We start from the raw sequence: 23610 nt of genomic DNA on the forward strand, positions 1-23610 counted from the left end.
GGGGTGATCTCGGCTCACTGCAACCTCCACCTCCCAAGTTTAAGCAATTCACTGGCCTCAGCCTTCCAAGTAGCTGGGACTACAGACATCCACCACCACGCCTGGCTTATTTTTGTATTTATAGTAGAGTCGGGGTTTCGCCATGTTGGCCAGGCTAATCTAAAGCTCCTGACTTCAGGTGATCCACCCACCTCAGCCTCCCAAAGTGCTGGGATTACAGGCGTGAGCCACAGTGCCTGGCCTTGTGTTCTTTTTAATTTCATCCTCTACTTGCTTTTTTCCCCTATTATAATATAATCTCTTGCTCTTTTCTAAATGAAAGTTGTTTCTTCATATTTTTTGAGCGTCTTTATACTAATTTTAAAGCTTTTGTCAGACTATTTCATAAAACTAATCTTATAGTGACTTCCTGTTCCTATGTTTTAATATCATGTCTGATTTTAATTTTGTGTAGACGTTTTGCTCAACCCTGTCTCATGTTTTCTTATTCCCTGGGTACCTGGCCTAGAATGAGATTTTCATGATCATTTCAGGGCTTCTGTCCTATGACTATAGGATATTTCAGAGACTCTGTGACCCACTGTGACCCAGTGGGTAGCTTCATTCATTTATTATTCTTTAGATTCTGTCTGTGACCTCTTACCTCTCTAGTCTCAAAGCTTGCCGAAAACTTGAGCCACAGGTGGTAGTTGGTAGCAGTTTTAATTTAGCTGCCTTTCTGAAGACTGCTTAGGTGGCATCTCCAACTCCTCTCTTCACACAATCAGCCAGGCTACAGTTCCCCTTTTCACAGGGAGTGCTTTTCACTCTCTTAAATGGTAGGGCTGAACTTCTGCCTGCTTTCAGACCCAGAACTCGGTAAGGCCAAGGCTTCAATTATTATTGCTTTGCAGTTTTGTTCTGTTTTTGCTGAAGAGATGTTTACTGAGGTTTTGTGTCTGGCTATGTCTTTTTGGGTTTTTAATAATCCATCATTTTTCTATGTTTGGAATACAGATGGTTTTAGCCAAGTGTGAACTCATACCATTTTGACCAGAGCTCTTACTTTTGCTTTAGAAGCCATTATTAGACTGTCATTATTTACCTACAGCATTTGGTGTGGTTATACATGAATATGAGAGTAAAATTATATATATTTTTTATGGTAGATATGTAACAAAGTTTACATATTACTTCACCTTGGTGTGCTTGGTGCCTGTTGAGTGCTGTCCTGGATTTGCTAAGCCCTTGATTTGCTTGTCCCTTTTTAAGTAGCATAGGTATAGACCCCAAAGATGAAGCTTCTTTTTGATCTAACAGTGGTGCTTTAGGGGAGCCTGAACAGTTTGTTGTCCCTTTGTTTTGTAGGTAATGTCCTGCCTTCTCCTCCCCAATTGAATAAGCTAATGAAAAGAAATTGATTTGGTTTAGTTAGTGTGGCTAGCTTAGATATCTGAGTCAATGCCACTTATGGAGAGTTGTGCTTTCAATACTTGTCTCTCTGTTCAGCCAGTGAAGGCAGTGCACTTTGGAAGAAATCAGGTTTAACCACACTTAAGCATTCAGCAGGGAATACTTAGACGCCTCCTTCTTCTTATTGCTGTGCAAGAATGCCCTGTAGGAGACATTTGGGTGGTGCTACCTCTTTGACCTTCAGCGTCCAGGAGATGTGTGCTGCCTTTCAGATTCATTCTTATCTTGGAAGCCTAGAGCTTCTCCCCTGGTTTACACATTGCTACTGCTGCATTTTTCCTTCTAGAAAGGTTTTGTCACTTTTCTGTTGTCCTTTCTATAATACCTATTTACTTTTTGCTTGACAGGGTCTCTTATTGTCTCCCTACTTAAGCAGATTCTTTTTTTGTAAGGTCCTCTCGCACGCCATCTTACCTGGGAAGAGTGCTGCAGTGGGAGAGGGATGATGAAAGGGTTGGAGTACATCCAATAACATCAGCATTACAACACAAGAGCAAACCTTTTAATAGTTTGGAAGTATTTCCCCATGTATCACCTTTATCTCCTCTATTCATCTCAATCGCCTTTGATCCTCAGAATTATTTGAATCAGGAAGAGCAGCATTATTTTCTCTATGCCACAGAGAAAAAGTGACTCAGTGGAATCACAGAGCTATTAAATGGCTGAACAGGGACTATAGTCCCATGCTTGTTCTAGCAATATTTGCTGAGATGTAAGCTGCACAAGGTGGAGCTCCTTTATACGAAGGTGATGTCCTACAAATAGCACAGATGTAATTGAAAATGGGTTATTTTCTCTTTTCCTGAATGAATTTCACCTATTTGCAAATGGACATAACTTTGAAACTGGCAGGCACATTTATCTCCTTTATGTCTCTCTGCTCTGGTGGTGCTTGGCCCTTGATCATAACCTGGGGTGAGAGATGATGTGCATTAACTGTGTTTCTGCCATTTTTCATTATTTTGTGAATGCCATTATATTTGAAAATTCTATCTAGGGAAGCTGTATACTAACTTCTTGCATAAAGAGCCTGTGAACAATTTTGTCAGCTAAGTATTTACTGGTAAACTCACTTACTCACTCAGAATTTTTTAATATCCCTCAATAAGTGCCGTTTAGTGAGACTTCAACTACTTGAGGAGTTTGGGGAGTTTTTCTGCTCTTACAAAAGAGCCGGTGATAAGAAGAAATAATATATCAAGCCATGAAAAGACATGGAGAAACCTTAAATATTGCTAAGTAAAATGTGCCAATCTGAAAAGGCTACGTACTATAAGATTCCAGCCATATGGCATTTGGAAAAGGCAGAGCTATAGAGATAGGAAAATGATTGATTGGTGGTTGCCAGGTGCTCATGGGGAGAGTGGGTGGGATGAATTAAGTAGAGCATCAGGCATTTTTAGGGCTCTGAAACTATTCCATATGATACTATAATGGTGGACACATTATGCATTTTTCAAAAACCATAGAACTCTACAACACAGGGTGAAACCTAATGTAAAATATGGATTTTGGTCAATAATAAATCAACTTTGGTTCATCAGTTGTGGCAAATGTACCACACAAATGCAAGATGCTAATAATAGGGGAAATTGTTTTTGGAGGAGGAGAGAAGGTATATAGGAATTCTGTATACTTTCTCCTCGATTTTTCTGTAAGTCCAAAATTGCTCCAAAAAGTAAAGTCTATTAATTATGTATCAAACAAAACTAGTGTTCCTTGTGCCCTGCAGTACATATGGAGACACCGGAAGTACTAAGGAGCTCTTCTCTGCAACAGGCTTTGTATTCTTTGGAGAGACAAGCTGCACACATATGACTCTGTATATATTTATTACGTTTATAAAAAACCTCTGTGTTTGGAATCGCCTTTGTTAGTTCCCCTGAACTTTCTGAACAATTTCCTTTTCTTTAATCTGAAATATCACTAATCTTGGTCTTAGCTCAAGGGTGAATCTTAAAGGCAATGTGAAATTCAATTTCTTCAAATATGACTTATGAGACTGACACAAGAATAAAAACACTGAAATTATTATTTTTTTATTTAGCCTATAGGCATTTTAACACTCATAAATCATAAATAACCACAGTTAAACATCCAATTTTGCAGGGCTCAAGTCCTTTAGAAAAACTACAGTTGAAGAAAAAACAATTTCTTCCCTGGGATGTATTTATTTCATTTTCTGGTATCCAAAACTTATTACAAATGCAGTAACTATAGTTGTGCAAGAAGAGAGACTACTTTAAAATTTATGTGAGTAAAAACACAAGGAATTAAATATTTTATATCCAGCTTGATATAAAACAGGTAGCCTTCTCTGCACTAAAGACATTGTTGGCAGAAGCAAATAATAATATAAAGTTTATGCCTTTCTGTGTTCTCATCTCTTACATGATATTTAGTCCTTTTCACTTTTAATTTGAATCAGCAAGTACACTAAAACTGCCATGCAGCAGAGCACAGGATAATCAGCCAACAAGGAGAAGAGTGAAGCTTTCCTGGCAAGCATTGCACACACAAACCTCCAAAATTACTGGTTATGTTGAGCAATAACCAATGTGGTTATATGTATGGACATTATGTAAAGGGGTTTTATAAGCAATATCTCAGAGACTAACTCTATTATTAAACAGGGGCCAGAGCTCCAGAGTGGTTTTAACTAAGAAGTTTTACTGACCGACAGAAATTGGCTAATGTTTGTTTATTGGCATTTGTTTTGTAATTTTCACAAGAACATAATCCCCTTTCTGAAGAAATTATTTCTTGACAGAGGTTGGATAAACTGTGGCTCTTGAGCCAAATCTAACCTACAGCTTGTTTTTCTATAGCCTATCACCTTCTTTTGTACAGCTCACTAGCTAAGAATGGTTTTTATATTTTTTATGGGTTTTAAAAAATGTAACAAAGACCATATGTGGCCCAGAAAGCCTAAAATAGTTCTATCTGGTTCTTTACAGGTTTGCCAACACTTGCCTTAGAAGACAGAAGCTAGTAGGTTCAATTCATTGCACCTTGTTTCCTGTAACTAGCTCGTCTCTGTTTCCTTCACCACAAAACAGCTGGAATAATTTAAAGCATTTTTACCTCCTTTACTGAAGAACCTTTAGTGTGTTCCTGTTTATATTGTTAATAAAATATTTCAGTTCTTCTAATAACTAGCATCTGCTGCTCAATCTAAGTCCAAAACAAAATAATAAATAAGATAATGGGTGATTGATGAAGGCCAAACCTCATTTTTATCACTGCTAAAGGCTGTTTAAGGGCGTGGCTTTGTGTAAGGGCCAAAATAACTCTTACCTACCGCTAAGCAGTGTGGGACCGGAGCAGGATTCACCATGTGAGGAGCACAGCGTGGTGTGCCTCTGCAGACAGCCTCTCCCAAGAAAAAGGAGGGCCTAAGAGCCCTGACCATTCTCAGTTAATTTCTAAGTTTACCAACTACACAGATCATTCTTCCTCCAAAAGGAAGAAATAAGTAAATCGGTAAACAGAAGCCACGGATCAAATGCTTTCAGTGCTTGATTCTCTTTGGAGAAAAACTGAGTTATAGGGAAGCGGTACTTCTCCCTAAAATATTCAGCTATAAATCCTTATGCCTTTCTGCGTTCTCATCTCTTACATGATATTTAGTCCTTTTCACTTTTAATTTGAATCAGCAAGTATATCGCTGGAAGGGATGTTGTCCCTTCCTTTTTGCCCCAGCCTACCTCTCCAATTTAACCTCTCATTATTCTCCTTTGCTTCAGCATAAAATGACATTAAATATACATTGCTAGGGCTGTCTCTGCACTTTGACTCTTGTAATATTCCCAATTAGTGATGTCCTTCTTCTGTAATAACTATTCATCCTTTGCATAAAACTCCATTGCAGAATTTACTTCTTCCAGGGACTCTTTGCTGTTTTCCTTTTTTATTCTTTGTTGTTTAAATTACACAACGGTTTGCACTATCTTCTATTGAGCATCGTTCCATTTCCTGAATTTTTATTTTTATGCGGTAGCATGTTTCAGGAACAAGATTCCTGGATTAAGGACTGGCGGTTTCACAGCTACCATTGTCTAGCACTTATATTCGAGGCACGATGCTAAGTGCTTTTGACACATGCTCTCATTTAATTTCATAGCAGCCCTAAAGAAGCAGATCATAAGTAGGTTACGCGCTTTGAAATACAATATGCTGTTCAAAAAAATGAGAACTGTTATTTAATAAGGTCATGGATAAGTTTCCTAAGATATTTACCTATATTTATTTATGTCAGTAAATTTTCAGGTTCTCAAGGAGTGGGTTGTGGCTCCTCCTGTGTGGTTTTCATTGCATCTAGCAGATTATTCTGAATAAAAATAAATATCTATTTATTTTTATTTCTAGTACTATAAATTAATAATAAAAGGAATAAAATTAATTCTAACATGTTACGCAAACCAGCTGGGAGTTAATGGTGTAACAGAGGAAAGAAAGAAAAACTTGAAAATAAAAAATCGGTGAACAGTGTAGATTTTTTTTTCTTCTTTAACTTGTTAAAATGCAAAATGAAAGAATAATAAACTGATTTTTCATACTCTCCCACCAAGATTCAATAATTGTCAACTCATGTTTCATCTATATCCCACCCACTTCAGCTTAATTTGAAGAAAATTCCAGATATTCTATCAGTTTATCTGTGAAGGTTTCCCTATATATTTGTAAAAGATAAGCATTCTTTTTAAAACAAAGTGACCATTTTATTGTCCAAAAAGTTAACAATAATTCCTTAATATCATCAAGTATTCAGTTAATGATTACATTTTTCCAGTTGTGCACATTTATTTTAAGGTTATTTTGAATCAGGATCTGAATAAGATCTGTGCAGTGTAATTGTCTGACATGTTGCTTAAATCTTTAATCTACATGTTGCTTCTTCATCTTCCCCCCTCCCTTTATAATTTGTTTTTTAAGAGAAGCTGAGTTGTATTACTTTGATAGATTCTCATAGTGTGGACTTTACTGATTTCATCTCATAGTGTCATTTACCATATTTCCTTACTCCCTATATTCTTGCAAACTGATGGTCATATGTAGAGGCTTGATCAGATTCAAGTTCAAATATTTTATCAGGAATGTTTGTGGTATTAGGTACTTCTAGGAATTTCTGTTTGTTTCTTTTGTGATGTTAGCAGCCACTGACAATAACTGGCTAAATCCATTAACTTATTAAGAATTGCAAAATGGTGGTATTCTAATTTATCATTCCTTATTTATTTGCTAGGATACTTCTGTAAAGAGAAATAGCACTGCATTAGCTATTGTGCTACTTTGAGATACATTTATGTACTCTGAGATAAATACTTAGTTCATTTTTTTGACCATTTGAGTTAACTATTTTTCAAAATAATGAATCACTTCTCTAACATTTTTCAAAGGTGACTAACAAGATTCATTTTTTTAAGAATCATTATGAACTCCTGAATCCAGTAAAGTGTTACTTAACAATGGGGATATGTCCTGAGAAATGAATCACTGGGCAATTTCATTGTGTGAACATCAGAGTATACTTATGCGAACCTAGAAGGTGTAACCTGCTATACTTCTAGGCTACAACTCTGTACAGCATGGTACTTTACTGAATACAATAGGCAATTGCACTACAATGTTACCATGGCTACAGCATCATTAGGTGATAGGAATTTTTCAGCTTCGTTATAATATTATGGGACCATCATTTTGCATGGTGTCCATCATTGACGTAAATGTCATTATGTCACACATGACTATATTTGATGTGTTTCAATTTGTTATAATAGTGATTATTGATTATTATTTTTGGAGATATGATCTTTCTCTGTCACCCAGAGTGCAGTGACACGAACATAACTCACTGCAGCCCCAAACTCCTAGGCTCCAGCGATCCTATCACCTCAACTGGCTGAGTAGCTGAGATTACATACATGCCACTGTACCCAGGTAATTTTTAAACTTTTTATAAAGACCAGGTCTAATTTTGTTGCCCAGCCTGGTCTGGAACTCCTGGCATCAAGTGATCTTTCCACCTTGGCCTCCCAAAGTGCTGGGATTACAGATGTGAGCCACAGTGCCTGGCCTACAATATTATTAATGCTCAAATATTTTGGGCAAAGAGAACATCAAGTAGGTTTCTGAACCGTTTTAGTAGTTTTGATAACTTTATTGCCTTCTAGTATGACAACATTTTCCAGACTAATATTGAACATTTTCTTGCTAAAACCTGAAATCAGCTGTCTTTCTAAAGGTCCCTGGTTTCTTTCAGTGGAAAATAGAATACCGGTATCTCAGTAATAGGATTGTTAGTTACAACTGGGTTGGTCACTGTGTGTAGGCTTATTCAGACTGTTGAGTTAGAAGTTTTTTAAAAAGATAAAATCCATCTTGTGTGTGTACTGATAAGTTCCAGTTCAAACACAGGACTAAACAGTATTTGTTACCTCATCTAATTTACATTTGTATCTCACATACTAATTTTTCTTACAATTCAGATAACTGTCTTAGAATAATATCAACACTATGACCAATTATATAATTACTGGAAGCAGATTTATTTTTAGTGGCTCTTTCTGTCCTGAAAGTAAATCTCCCTAGGATTGAGCAACTAAATAATTCCTTTTTATATAGTTACACTATCAATTCAAGAGTTAGGTTCATTTATTTCAATTTTTAAGGAATTGAGTTTTTTATTATAATATTCATTTAGTTTTATTATTTACATATTTCCAAAATCAACTGTACAAAAACAAGATATGTCCAGAAAAATCAAGCTTCTATCCTTGTGTCCTCCAGCTTATTTTCTCCCTCTTTTATAGGTAACCACCAAAATATTTTGCAGTCTATCCTTCCATTGTTAAGTAAATATGCATATATATTGTATATTTGGATTGCCCTTTACTTAGATAAATGATGGAATAATTTACATATGTTCTCTACCTTGCTTTTTTTTAACTATAAAATGTAAACTGGGAATCACTACATAGAAAAGATATATTTCTTATTCCTTTTTATATCTGTGTAGTATTTCATTGTGTGAATATTTCATGGTGTATTAAATCAGTCTGCTATTGATGGGCATTTCTACTTTTTTGCTGTTATTAACAATAATGCCATTGATAGCTTTGTAAAAAGTCTTTTTGTTTTTTGCCGAGGTATCTTTGGGGTAGATTTCTGAAAATAAGGTGCTCGGTGAAAGGCTAAGTGAAGTTGTATTTTTGATTAATAGTGTCAGGTTCCTCTCTAGGGGGATTTATATACTTTGCATTGCTACTAGCAATAAGTGAGAGTGTCTGCTTGCCCATAGCCTTGCCAACGGTATATGCGAATTTCTTTTTGAGTAAACTGTCTTTCCATTTTTTTCCTTTCTTGCTACACTTAGAAGCTTTCTCTACATTTAGGATACTGAACCTGCATTATATAAAAGTTTTAAATGTATTTTCCCAGTATATTATTTGTCTTTTAACCTGGCTTAGGTTGTTCAATGTTTCTGTGCCATGAGGATATTTCTGTGGAATTTATCAGTCTCTTAATTACATTACTTAATTTATGTCATAGGGAATTTTTTCCCTCTTCAGTTGATAAGTTATTCACCCATGCTTCCTTGAGTACTTTTATGATATAATTTTTAAGATTTTAAATCTCTGGGATTTATACTATTGTATAGTTGAGGAATTGATCAAATTTTATACTTTGTCTTATAACTCTAATGATCACAATGGATTGTATTTAAATGTTCATCATTTTCCTCATTGATTTTTTTGGGCTACTTCTCATTATACTCTAAGTTTCCATAAGTTATTAAATCCATGTCTAGATTTTCAGCTCTATTTTGCTGGCTTGTGTGTCTTTTTAAACATCAACACACTTCTATTGAGGCTTTATAATATGTTTTATTATCTAATTGTGCTAGGTCTCCTTCATAGTTCTTTTTCAGGGCTATTCTGACTAATCTTGCGTTTTTTGTTTTTTTCCATTGCCCTTTTATTTATTTTAAAATTTTTATATATTTATTTATTTTTAGACAGAGTCTTGCTCTTTTGCCCAGGCTGTAGTGCAGTGGCATGATCTTGGCTCACTGCAACCTCCACCTCCTGGGTTCAAGCAATTCTCCTGCCTCAGCCTCCCGAGTAGCTGGGATTACAGGTGCCCGCCACCACACCTAGCTAATTTTTGTATTTTTAGTAGAGAAGGGGTTTTGCCATGTTGGCCACGCTGGTCTCTAACTCCTGACCTCAGGTGATCCACCTACCTCAGCCTCTCAAAGTGCTGGGATTACAGGTGTGAGCCACCATGCCTGGCTCCATTGCCCTTTGAAACAACTATCTAGCTGCAGAAAAAAAAATGGTATTTTTATTGGAATTCTATTATATTTATATATCTGTAAAAGAAAAATCTGAGTCACAATAAAATTTTAAGGAGTTTTTGTGACTAAGTAGCAATTCATGAATTGGGAAGCAACAAACTGAAAGAGATCTAGTGCTCTGATAACGAAGTGTCAGAGGCAAGTGTTCATAGGGTGAATAAGGAAGCAAAATAAACAGATTGGTTCCAGTCATAAAATTGCCTTTTTCTGTTTACCTTGTTGGAAAGCCTTTAATCACATAACCATATGTTGTTTGCTGCTTACGACTAGCTGAGGTTAAGTTTTGTTGCTGTCTAATGTAAGCATGACCATTTACAGCATTTATCAGAAATGACCCAAGTTAAGTTTTGCTTAGGTTTGGAATTGTGTTACTTTTATAAATCTGTAAAAGAAAAATCTGAGTCACAATAAAATTTAAGGAAGTTTATTTGAATAGGTAGCAATTCATGAATTGGGGAGCAACAAACTGAAAGAAGTTTAGTGTTCTTTTTAAGCAAGTTTCGGGCTATTTTTAAGGTCTAATTGGTTTGTTTGCTTCGGAATTTATCAGGTTTGGTTTACATTTTAATTTTGCTTTAACAAATCAAATTAGAATAAAACTTTCACCTTTGTGATGCTGGATCTTCCTATTCAAGAATGTTATGTATGCTTATTTGTTCCAGTCTGGTTTTGTATTTTTCAGCAATATTTTATAATTTTCTTTGTAGGTTTTGGACATTTATTGCTAAATGTAGGCCTTGGTCTGGTTTCTCACTTTCCTTCTACCCTACTTTCTTCCTTGCCTTCTGCTTTTGTAAATGGAGATATCTTTTTCTTTGGTTATTATTTTTTTTTAACTTGTGAGTGTATAAATGAATGCTGTGTATTTTTGCATGGTGATTTTATAACTTGCTATTTTCTAAATTCTCTTATTTTTGTATTATTTTCTATCAACTTTGGGATTTTGACAGTTGTGTAATTATATCATCTGCAAATAAAGAATTGATAGTTCTTCCTTTTCATTCTTTTTTTTTTTTTTTTCTAAGATGGAGTCTCACTCCAGGCTGATGTACAGTGGCGGAATCTCAGCTCACTGCAACGTCTGCCTTCTGGGTTCAAGTGATTCTCTTGCCTCAGCCTCCCAAGTAGCTGGGATTACAGGTGAGTGCCACCACACTTGGCTAATTTTTGTATTTTTAGTAGAGAAGGAGTTTCACCATGTTGGCCAGACTCGTCTGAACTCCTGACCTCAGATGATCCGCCCACCTCGGCCTCCCAAAGTGCTGGGATTACGGGCATGAGCCATCACGCCTGGCCTCATTCTTATGCCTCTGCTTGCTTCCTCTTGATTTACACCTCCAACAAAGTATTCAGTAAATCATGAAGAAGGGAGGAATTTTTTTTACTTGTTTCTGATTTCATTAGGAAGATCTCTAGTGTTTCTCCTTTAAATAAGATGCTCTCATTACTTTCAGAAAATGTTCATCACTTCTTATTTTATTGAGTATTATCGTAATGAATGGGTGTTAAAATTTGATTTTTCTGAGTCTTTGGAGTTGATTATATAATTTCTTAATAGAATGCATTGTATTAGACTCCTGGGAATCTTAGAATAAACTTACTTAGTCATGATGTATTTTTATGTGTTGTTGTAATTTTGGGTCATATATGGTTAATAGTTTTGCAGTGATGGCACAGTGAGACTGGTCTACAATTTTCTTTTTAGGTGTAATTCTAAAATATAGGTTTTGTTGTTACTTAGATATGGCAAGGTCAGTAGATTAGGAGACGACTGCCACTGTGAGTGTGTGCCACTATGAGTATGTTTGTCATACTCATAGATCCCAAGTGGAGGGGCATGGAGGTGCCAAACAGAAAAGTACTGGGGTCTATCAGGAGCTAGAGGGAGGAGGGGATAATAATAGCCAGAGCTTTTACTGTGACTTGTAGCACTAGCATTGGCCAATGTCAAAAATAAAAACAGGTTAGAAAAATTTTTAAAGTTTATTGTCAGATGGTAAGAGAAAGTGCAGATTGCAATCCAGGGGATACCAAACCAAATGATAAGAAATTCTGCTCATAGCAGTTACAATACAATTTATAAAGCATAAAGGAGGAAGTATTTTGATTTTTTTTCTTTGGATTGGCTGTTATACATTAACATTCTTTTTAAGGTAAACAGAGCTATTTAAGATGACTTATCTGTATCTGATTGGTTTAATTTCACTGAATCAGTTTGACAAGGAAAAGTTCACATTCTGTGTTTTATGATTAGAGTTAGTGTCAGGGAAATCAGGACGGCTTATGTTTCAGCTACATGATTATGGGTAGTTAGCCTTGGGGTATATCTGAACTGAGGCCTGCATTTTAATTTTTCTTTAATACTACTATCAATAATTTCAGCAGGCCCTAGGCCATACAGGTTGTCCCTGGTCATTTGGTACCTGAGACTGAGGTGATCAGGCAGGTGGATAATGGCCCTGAGTGTGAGAACCTAAAAAAGGAAGTAGTTGCGTTATTGGCTCTGAATAGTTGGTTTGTGTTTAAAGGATGCGCTGCGCTATGGGCAAGGTGTTTTTACTATCTCTAAGAATTGGCTAACCCTCGGGGGCAGTCCCTCCAAGGTCAGCAAGTCCTAAGATATCAAAGCATCAGAATATAGAAAATAAAAGACATGGTTAATACATATGGCAAGTTGTATTTTTTTCCTGTAAAATATCATTTAAACTAAGTTTTCAAATTTATTTGCAAAGAGTTGTTCTTAGTTGTGTTTATTCTGATTGTCATTTCCTGTGGTTTTTGTCTAATTTGTCTATTTTGACTTCCCTCCACCCTTTTTTGCATTAGGTTAGCATTGGTTTGGTTTGTTAATCTTTTTCAAAGAAATAGCTTTTATATTCATTTTTTTCTAAAAAATTATTTTCAGATTTTATCTTACCCCTTTTTCTTTTTGGGGTGGGTAATTGATTTAAGCTGTTTAGGTTGGATGTTTATTTTCAGTTTTATTGATAAATGTATTTATGCTATAAATGGTCCTCTGGTAATTGCTTTAGCCCTGTCATAGGTTCAGATGTTGTGTATTCATTGATTTTATTATAAAGAAATACTGTGATTTGGTTTCATAGTTCTCCTTTGAGTTGTTTAATACCATGCTTTTAATTTTCAGAGATAAGGCTCTTTTTGTGTTAACATTTTGGTCACAGAGTGCTGTATTAGTTCTAATTTTGGTATTGATCTACCATTTCTTGTGACCTAAGATATAGCAATTTTCATAAATGTTTTGTTTACCCTTGAAAAAAGATATATTATCTATTGAAGTTTAGGGTTTTATATATAAGACCTTGTTGATTTGTTATTTAGGTTTTCTATAGTCTTACAATTTTTTGTCCGCTTGATCTTTCTTGGATTAGGAGAGGTGTGTTAAATTCTTCTAAAATCTTTTAAATATGGTTTTATGTATTCTCTTTGAATATTCTGCAGTTTCCACTTTATGTAATGTTTTGCTGTGTTACTGGGAACAGAAATTTTAATTATTAATATGTTTTCATTGTGAATTATACCTTTAGCATTTTTAATATTCTTTTTCTCCTTTAATGCTTTTTGTTTTGAATTCTTCCTTTTCAAATATAAACATTGTGATCATTGCCTTTTATTTATTTGCATTTTCCTTGTATTCACTGCCCACCCTTAAATTTTCCTGAATCTCTCTCCTTTAAAATTATATAAATTTTAGGTATATAAATATGTGTGCTTCTTATATATAGCATAATGCTGTATTTTGCTCTTTTAGATGATCTGAGATGTTTGGTTTCAGTTCTGTGTTTTTTTGCACACATATGTGTATATAAAATATTTCACTATATGGTATATACATTTTTACTTTGGTATTTATTGATACATATCTCCTTTTCTATTATTTACTTTTTTATTTTTAATTTTTTTTGGTACATAGTAGGTGTATATATTTATGGTGTGCATGAGATGTTTTGATACAGGTATGCAATGTGAAATAAGCACATGATGGAGATCAGGATGTCCATTCCCTCAAGCATTTATTCTTTGAGTTACAAACAATACAATTACACTCTTTACGTTATTTTAAAATGTATAATTAAGCTATTATTGATTCTAGTCACCTTATTGTGCTATCGAATTTTAGGCCTTATTCATACTTTCTGTTTTTTCCTACGCATTGACTATCCCCATATCCCCCTTACCCTCCCACTACTCTTCCCAGCTTCTGGTAACCATCCTTCCACTCTCTATGTCCACGAGTTCAAAGGTTCTGAGCTTTATATCCCATAAATGAGTGAAAGCATCCAATGTTTGTCTTTCTGTGCCTGGCTTATTTTACTTAACCTAGTGATTTCTAGTTCCATCCATGTTGTTGCAAATGACTAGATCTCATTCTTTTTTTGTGGCTGAATAGTACTCCGCTATGTACATGTACCACATTTTTTTTAATCCATTCATCTGTTGATAGACACTTAGGTTGCTTCCAAATCTTAGTATTGTAAACAGTGCTGCAACAAACATGGGAGTGCAGATATTTCTTTGATATTCTGATTTCCTTTTTGTGGGGTGTTTACCAAGCAATGGGATTTGGCTGGATGATATGGTAGCTCAATTTTTAGTTTCTTGAGGAACCTCCAAACTGTTCTCCATAGTGGTCTTACTAATTTACATTCCCACCAACAGTGTACAGAGTTTCCCTTTTCTCCACATTTTTGCCAGGATTTGTTGTTGCCTGTCTGTTGGATATAAGCAGTTTTAACTGGGGCAAGATAATGCCTCATTGTAGTTTTGGTTTGCATTTCTCTGATGACCAATGATGTTGAGCACCATTTCATGTGCCTGCTTGCCATTTGTCTTTTTGAGAAATGAGTTTTTGGATAACAGGTGGTTTTTGGTTACATGGATAAGTTCTTTAGTAGTGACTTCTGAGATTTTTGTGCACCTTTCACCCGAGCAGTGTACACTGTACTCAGTGTGTACTCTTTTATCCCTCACCTCCCTCTCATCCTTTCCTCCAAATCCCCAAAGTCTATTATATCACTCTTATGCCTTTGCATCTTCATAGCTTGGCCCCCACTTGAAAGGGAGGATGTATTTGGTGTTTCATTCCTGAGTTACATCACTTCGAATAATATTCTCCAACTCCATCCAGGTTGCTGTGAATGCCATTATTTCATTGCTTTTTGTGGGTGAGTAGTATTCCACGGTGTACACATACCATATTTGCTTCATGCACTGGTTGATTGATGGGCATTTAGGCTGGTTTATATATATATATATATATATATATATATATATATATATATATATACACACACACACACACACACACACACACACACACACACACACACACATATATATAATTTATTAAATAAATAAAGTTTATTTAATAAATATAAAAATATAAAATTTAGGCTGGTTTATATATATATTATTTATTGAATAAATAAAATATATATTATTTATTGAATAAATAAAATATATATTATTTATTGAATAAATAAAATATATTTTATTTATTTATTTATTTATTTTGAGACAGAGTATCACCCTGTCACCCAGGCTGGAGTGCAGTGGCACAGTCTCGGCTCACTGCAACCTCCGCCTCGCAGGTTCAAGCGATTCTCCTGCCTCAGCCTCCCAAGTGTCTGGGATTACAGGTGCACACCACCATGCCTAGCTAATTTTTGTATTTTTAGTAGAGACAGGGTTTCACCATGCTGGCCAGGCTGGTCTCAAACTCCTGACCACTTGATCTGCCCACCTTGACCTCCCAAAGTGCTGGGATTATAGGTGTGAGCCATCATGCCCAGTGAGTTTCATATATTTGCAATTGCAAATTGTGCTGCTATAAACATGGGTGCTCAAGTGTCTCTTTCACATAATAACTTCTTTTCTTATGGGTAGTTACCTGTAGTAGGATTGCTGAATGAAAAGGTAGTTTTACTTTTAGTTCTTTAAGGAATTTCTTTAAGGAATCTCTTAAGTTCTTTAAGGAATTAAAATTGTTTTCCACAGTGGTTGCACTAGTTTACATTTCTGCCAGTAATGTAAAAGTGCTCCCTTTTCCCCACATCTACCCCAACATCTATTATTTTTTGATTTTTAAATTATGGCTATTCTTGCAGGAGTAAGGTGGTATCGCATTGTGGTTTTGATTTGCATTTCCCTGATCATTAATGAATTTGAGCATTTTTTAATATGTTTGTTGGCCATTTGTATAGCTTCTTTTGAGAATTATCTGTTCATGTCCCTTGCCCACTTTTGATGGTATTATTTTTTTTTCATGCTGCTTTGTTTGAGTTTCCTGTAGATTCTGGATATTAGTCCTTTGTCAGATGTATGGTTAGTGAATATTTTCTCCCACTTTGTGGGTTGTCTGTTACTGTGCTGATTATTTCTATTGCTGTGCAGAAGCTTTTTCATTTAATGAAGTCCCATCTATTTACCTTTGTTTTTGTTGCATTTGCTTTGAGTTCTTGCTCATGAAATCTTTGCCTAAGCCAATGTCTTGAAGAGTTTTTCCAATGTTATCCTCTAGAATTTTTATGTTTTCAGGTCTTAGATTTAAGTATTTGATCCATCTTGAGTTGGTTTTTGCATAAGGTGAGAGATGAGGATCCAGTTTCATTCTTCTACATGTGGCTTGCCAATTATCCCAGCACCATTTGTTGTATAGGGTGTTGTTTCTCCACTTTATGTTTTTGTTTGCTTTGTTGAAGATCAGTTGTCTGTAAGAATTTGGCTTTATTTCTGGGTTCTCTATTCTGTTCCATTGGTCTACAAGCCTGTTCTTATACAAGTACTATGCTGTTTTGGTAACTATAGTGTTATAGTATAATTTGAAGTTGGATAATGTGATACCTCCGGACTTGTTCCTTTGCTTGGTCTTGTTTTGGCTATGTGGGTTCTTTTTTGGTTCAATATGAATTTTAGGATAGTTTTTTCTAGTTCTGTGAAGAATGATGATGGTATTTTTGATGGGAATGGCATTGAAGCTGTAGATTGCTTTTGGCAGTTTGGTCATTTTCACAATATTGATTCTACTCATCCATGAGTATGGAATGTGTTTCCATTTGTTTATGTCATCTATGATTTCTTTCAGCAGTGTTTTATAGTTTTCCTTGTAGAAATCTTTCACCTCTTTGGTTAGGTATAGTCCTGATATGGTTGGCTGTGTCTCCACCTAAATCTCACCTTAAATTGTAGTAATTTCCACATGTCAAGGGCAGGGCCAGGTGGAGATAATTAAATTATGGGGGCTGTTTCCCCCATATTCTTCTTGTGATAGTGAATAAGTCTCATGAGATCTGATGGCTTTATAAATGGGAGTTCCCCTGCACAAGCTGTCTTGTCTACCACCTTGTAAGACGTGACTTTGCTCCTCATTTGCCTTCAGCCATGATTGTGAGGCCTCCCCAGCCATGCTGAGCTGTGAGTCTATTAAATCTCTTTTCTTTATAAATTACCCAGTCTCAGGTATGTCTTCATTAGCAGCATGAGAACACACTAGTACAGTAAATTGGTAACAGGTAGTGGGGTGCTGCTGTAAAGATACCCAGAAATGGGGAAGTAACTTTGGAACTAGGTAGAAGTTGGAACAATGTGGAGGGCTCAGAAGAAGACAGGAAAATGTGAGAATGTTTGGAACTTCCTAGAGACTTGAATGGCTTTGACCAAAATGATGATAGTGACATGGACAATTAAGTCCAGGCTGAGGTGGTCTCAGACGGAGATGAGGAACTTGTGGGAAGTGGAGTAAAGGTCACTCTTTCTATGCAAAGAGACTGGCACATTTTTTCCCTGCCCTAGAGTTCTGTGGAACTTTGAACTTGAGAGAGATGATTTAGGGTATCTGGAGGAAGAACGTTCTAAGTGGCTAAGCACTTAAGATTAAGCAGAGCGTAAAAGTTTGGAAAATTTGCAGCCTGACAATGAGCGAGAAAAGAAATACCCATTTTCTGAGGAGAAATTCAAGCCTGCTGCAGAAATTTGCATAAGTAACAAGGAGCTGGATGTTAATCCCCAAGACAATGGGGAAAATGTCTCCAGGGCATGTCAGAGACCTTTATGGCAGTTCCTTCCATCACACGCCTGGAGGCCTAGGAGGAAAAAGGTTTTGTGGGCCAGCCCCCAGGGCTGCTGTGTGCAGCCCTAGGACTTGGTGTCCTGCATCCCAGCTGCTCCACCTGTGGCAAAAAAAGCACCAAAGTGTAGCTCAGGCTATGGCTTCAGAAGGTACAAACTCCAAGTCTTGGCAGCTTCCACATGGTGTTGAGCCTGTGGATACACAGAAGTCAAGAATTTAGGTTTGGGAACCTCTGCCTGGATTTCAGAGAATGTATTAAGATGCCTGGATATCCAGGCATAGATTTGCTGCAGGGGTGGAGCCCTCATGGAGAACCTCTGCTGGGGCAGTACAGAAGAGAAATGTGGGGTTGGAGCCCCCACATTGAGTGCCTACTGGGGTATTGCCTAATGGAGCTGTGAGAAGAGGGCCACTATTCTCCAGACCCCAGAATGGTAGATTCACTGACAGCTTGCACTATGTACCTAGGAAAGCCACAGATACTCAATGCCAGCCTGTGAAAGCAGACAGGAGGGAGGCTGTGCCCTGCAAAGCCACAGGGGCAGAGCTGCCAAAGCCATGGGAGCCGCCTCTTGCATCAGCATGCCCTAAATGTGAGACATGGAGTCAAAGGAGATCATTTAGAAACTTTAATATTTAATGACTCCCCTATTGGATTTTGGACTTTCATGGGGTCTGTAGCCCCTTCGTTTTGTCCAATTTCTCCTATTTGGAAGAGGTGTATTTATCCAAAGCCTGTACTCTATTGTATCTGGGAAGTAACTAACTTGCTGTTGATTTTACAGGCTCATAAGGTAAAAGGTACTTACCTTGTTGTCTCAGATGAGACTTTCTACTGTGGACTTTTGAGTTAATGCTGAAATGAGTTAAGACCTTGAGGAACTGTTGGGAAGGCATGATTGGTTTTGAAATGTGAAGACATGAGATTTGGGAGGGGCCAGGGATGAAATGATATGGTTTGGCTATGTCCCCACCCAAATCTCACGTTGAATTGTAATAATTCCCATGTGCCAAGGGTGGGGCCAGGTGTACATAATTGAATCGGGGGGCTGTTTTTCCCATACTGTTCTCATGGTGGTGAATAAGTCTCATGAAATCTGACGGTTTCCCTGCACACAGTCTCTTGCCTGCTGCCATGTAAGATGTGAATTTCCTTCTCATTTGCCTCAGCCATGATTGTGAGGCCTCCCCAGCCTGCTGAATTGTGAGTCAATTAAACCTCTTTCCTTTATAAATTACCCAGTCTTGTATATGTCTTTACTAGCAGTATGAGAACAGACTAATACTATTCCTAAGTATTTTATTTTATTTTATTTATTTTATTTTATTTTATTTTATTTTATTTTGCAGCTGTTGTTGGGTTCTTGATTTGATTCTTAGCTCCATCACTGTTGGTGTATAGCAGTGCTGCTGACTTGTGTGCATTGATTTTGTATCCTGAAAGTTTATAGAATTAATTCATCAGATTTAGGAGTTTTTTGGATGAGTCTTCTGGGTTTTCTAGATATATGATCATACCATCAGCGAACAGTGACAATTTGACTTCCTGTTTACCTATTTGGATGCCCTTTATTTCTTTCTCTTGTCTGATTGCTCTGGCTAGAACTTCTGTACTATGTTGAATAGACTTGATGAAAGCGGGCATCCATGTCTTGTTCCAGTTCTCAGGGGAGTTCTTTCAACTTCTCCCTATTCAGTATAATGTTGGCTGTGGGTTTGTCATAGATGGCTTTTATTACCTTGAGGTATGTTTTTTCTATGCCAATATTGCTGAGGTTTTAATCATAAAGTCGTGCTGGATTTTGTTAAATGCTTTTTCTGCTTCTATTGAGATGATCATATGATTTTTGTTTTCAATTCTGATTATGTGATCTATCATATTTATTTATTTGCATATGTTAAACCACCCCTGCATCCCTCGTATGAAACCCACTTGATCATGGTGGATTATCTTTTTGATATACTGTTGGCGTCTGTTGTCTAGTGTTTTGTTGATGATCTTTGCATCTATGTTCATCAGATAATGGTCCGTAGTTTTCTTTTTGTGTTATATTCTTCCCTGGTTTTGCTATTAGGGTGATAATGGCTTCATAGTATGATTTAGGGACAATTTGTTCTCTGTCTGTCTTTTAGAATAGTTTCAGTAAGATTGGTATCAATTCTTTTCTGAATGTCTGATAGAATTCAGCTGTGAATGCATCTGGTCCTGGACTTTTTCTATTGGCTATTTTTTTTATTGCCATTTCAATTCATCCTCTATCTGTTCAGTGTTTTTATTCCTTCCTGATTTAACCTAGGAGAATTGTATATTCCCAGGAAGTTATCCATCTCCTCTAGATTTTCTAGTTTGCATGTGTAGGTGTTCACAGTATCCTTGAATGATCTTTTGTATTTCTGTGGTATCAGTTGTAATGTTTCTTGTTTCATGTCTAATTGAACTTATTTCGATATTCTCTCTTCTTTTCTTGGTAATCTCACTAATGGTCTATCAATGTTATGGATCTGTTAAGAGAATCTGGTTTTTGTTTCATTTATGTTTTGTATTTTTTTGTATGAATTTCATGTAGTTCTGCTTTGATATTTGTTATTTCTTTTTTTTTCTGCTGGGTTTGGGTTTGGTTTGTTCTTGTTTCTCTAGTTTTTTGAGGTGTAACCTTAGACTGTTTACTTGTGCTCTTTCAGACTTTTTGTGTAGGCATTTAATCCTATGAACTTTCTTAGCACTGTTTTTGCTGTATCCCAGAGGTTTTGATAAGTTGTGTTACTATTATTGTTCAGTCCAAAGAATTGTTTCATATTCATCCTCATTTCAATGTTGACCCAAAGATCATTCAAGAGCAGATTATTTAATTTTTATGTATATGTATAGTTTTAGGGTTCCTTTTGGAATTAATTTCCAGTTTAATTCCACTGTGTTCAGAGAGAGTACTTGATATAATTTAGATTTTCTTAAGTTTATTGAGGCTTTTTTGGTGACATATTATATGGCCTATCTTGGAGAATGTTCCATGTGCAGATCAAAAGAATGTGTATTCTGCAGTTGTTGGGTAAAATGTTCTGTAGATGTCTAAGTCTATTTGTTCTAGGGTATAGTTCGAGTCCATTGTTTCTTCTTTGACTTTCTGTCTTGATGACCTGGCTAGTGCTGTCAATGGAGTATTAAAGCTCCCCACTATTATCGTGTTGTCACCTATCTCATTTATTAGGTCTAGTAGTAATTGTTTTGTAAATTTGGGAGCTCCAGTGTTAGATGCATATATATTTGGAATTGTGATTTTTTGCTGTTGAACTAATCCTTTTATTATTATTATTGTTATTATGTCCCTCCTTGTCTATTTTTTACTGTTGTTGCTTTAAAATCTGTTTTGTTTGATACAAGAATAGCTACTCCTGCTTGCATTTGGTTTCCATTTGTGTGGAATATCTTTTACCACCCCTTTACCTTATGTTTATGTGAACCTTTATGCATTAGCTAAGTCCCTTGAAGATCTCAGATACCTTGTAGGTGGATTTTTATCCATTCTGCCGGTGTGTATCTTTAAAGTGGAGCATTTAGGCCATTTACATTTAAAGTTAGTATAGAGATGTGAGGTACTATTCTATTTGTTATGCTGGTTGTTGCCTTAATACCTTGGGTTTTTTCCCATTGTGTTATTGTTTTATAGGTCATGTGAAATGCATCATTTAATTAAGATCTATTTTGGTGTATTTCAAGGTTTTGTTCAGTATTTACAACTCCTTTGAACATTTCTTGTGGTGCTGGCTTGGTAGTGGTGAATTCTCTCAGCATTTGTTTTTCTGAAAAAGACCTTACCTCTCCTTCACTTATGAGGCTTAGTTTTTCTGAGTACAAAATTCTTGGCTGACCATTATTTTGTTTCAAGAGGCTAAAGATGGGACCCCAGTCCCTTCTGGCTTGTAATGTTTCTGCTGAGAAATCTGCTGTTAATCTGATATGTTTTCCTTTCTAGGTAATCTGATGCTTTTGCCTCATAGCTCTTCAGATTCTTTCCTTTGTCTTGACTTTAGATAACCTGATGACTATGTATGTAGGTGAAGATCTTTTTGTGATGAATTTCCCATGTGTTCTTTGAGCTTCTTGTGTTTGGATGTCTAGATCTCTATCAAGGCCAGGGAAGTTTTCCTCAATCATTCCCTCAAATAAATTTTCCTCACTTTCATACTTCTCTTTTTCCTCAGGAACACCAATTATTCTTTGGTTTGGTATTTAACATAATCTCAAATTTATTGGAGGCTTTTTTTAATTCTTTTTTCTTTGTCTCTGTCTTATTGGTTAATTCAAAAGGCTTGTCTTCAAGCTCTGAAGCTCTTTCCAGTATATTTTGTACTTCTCTGAGTGTGTTTTTCATTTCTAGAAGTTGTGATTGTTTTTTTCTTTGTGATACCTATTTCTCTGGAGAATTTTTAATCCATATCCCATATTGCTTTTTGAATTTTTTAAAGTCGGTTTTTACCTTTCCCTGCTGTCTCCTTGAGTATCTTAATAACCAACCTTCTGAATTCTTTATCTGGCAATTCAGAGACTTCATCTTGGTTTGGATCCATTTCTGGGGAGCTGGTATGATCTTTTGGGGGTGTTATAGGACCCTCTTTTTTCATATTACCAGAATTACTTTTCTGGTTCTTCTAAGTTGGATATATTATGTCAGTGTTTCCAGTCTGGAAACACTTTTCAGTCTGGAACTCAAGGCCTGCTGTTGATTTCTCTGCTCCCATGGGTTGATCCTTTGGCGTGGTGCTCTCCCCTATCCCTTAGGATGGGGCTTCTTGAGAGCTAGACTGCAGGGATTGTTATTGCTCTCTTGGGTCTAACCACCCAGCAGGGCAAGATGGCTCCAGGCTGGTGGTAGGGAATGTCTACAAAGACTCCTGTGATTTGTCTTCAAGTCTCCCCACTGTGGCTACCAGCATCTGCTCTGGTGGAGGTGGCAGGGGAAGGAAGAAGATTCTGTGAGAGTCCTTGGTTTTAGATATGTTTAGCTTGCTAGCTTTCTCAAATGCTGGTTATACTAGCAGTGAAGTTGTCATGTGTACACACTCGGGACCTCTGGTTAGCCAGGATGTTGCAGGCAGTGGAATTAGGTGTTGTCTTCTCCTTCCTGGAACTGGAGTTATTCTGTCATGAGTTGCTGTAATGGGCTACATTGGTTGGCCTCCAGCCAGGAGGTGGTGCTTTCAAGAGAGTACGAACTGCTTTAGTAGTAGGGGGCTCTAAGCTTGCTCTAAGTTGGACAGCATATGGGAAGGGCCATAAAGCTCCAAAGAGTTTCTGTATTTTGTGTTTGGCTCCCAGGGCAGGTAGAGAAATACCATCAAGTGGGGGCAGGGTTAGGCAAGTCTGGACTCAAGCTCTTCTTGGGCGGGGCTTGCTGTGGCTACTGTGGGGAATGGGGAATGGTTCTCAGGCCAATGGTGTTAGTTCCGTAGGAGACCTTGGCTACCTCTGCTGTTTCATATAGTTTGCCAGGAAAGTGGGGGATAGCTGGTAGCAAGAGGCCTCACCCAGGTCCTACGCAGTTGGTGAGGCCAGTTTCACTCCTGCAGTGCCCTGTTGAGAACCTGCCTGAGGCTGTGAGCTTCCCTGCTGAAAAAGCAAGCATGGCTTTCAGACCTTGACCCTCCCTGTCTGCTGACTCCATTGGCGGTGTCTCCTGTGCTTCTGTACTCATACCTGTAGCAGCTCCCACTCATC

At 36.8% G+C, this 23610-nt stretch overlaps 1 protein-coding gene across 2 annotated transcripts in view, besides 1 other annotated feature; it reads left to right on the forward strand.

Moving 5' to 3' along the window:
- Nucleotides 1–789: 789 nt before the first annotated feature.
- GALNT13 (polypeptide N-acetylgalactosaminyltransferase 13) overlaps nt 790–23610 on the forward strand; it is a 1388282-nt gene continuing 1365461 nt past the window's right edge. Inside the window, exons 1-2 of one of the 2 annotated variants that reach the window (NM_001422882.1) lie at nt 790–858; nt 10837–10980. The gene's annotated coding sequence lies outside the window, so the exon portion shown is untranslated. The remainder of the gene's footprint in view (nt 859–10836; nt 10981–23610) is intronic. The other variant, NM_001422883.1, reaches the window with a different exon arrangement.
- Nucleotides 1143–2342: an enhancer, noted in NCBI's record as "P300/CBP strongly-dependent group 1 enhancer chr2:153925160-153926359 (GRCh37/hg19 assembly coordinates)". NCBI's record gives its function as "activates an origin of replication core promoter dependent on BRD2, BRD4, P300/CBP, MED14 and CDK7 cofactors, with strong dependence on P300/CBP, by STARR-seq in HCT116 cells {active_cell/tissue: HCT116}" and the evidence as "EXISTENCE:reporter gene assay evidence [ECO:0000049][PMID:35650434]".

This window comes from Homo sapiens, chromosome 2, assembly GCF_000001405.40.
Source record: "Homo sapiens chromosome 2, GRCh38.p14 Primary Assembly".
NCBI lineage: Eukaryota > Metazoa > Chordata > Mammalia > Primates > Hominidae > Homo > Homo sapiens.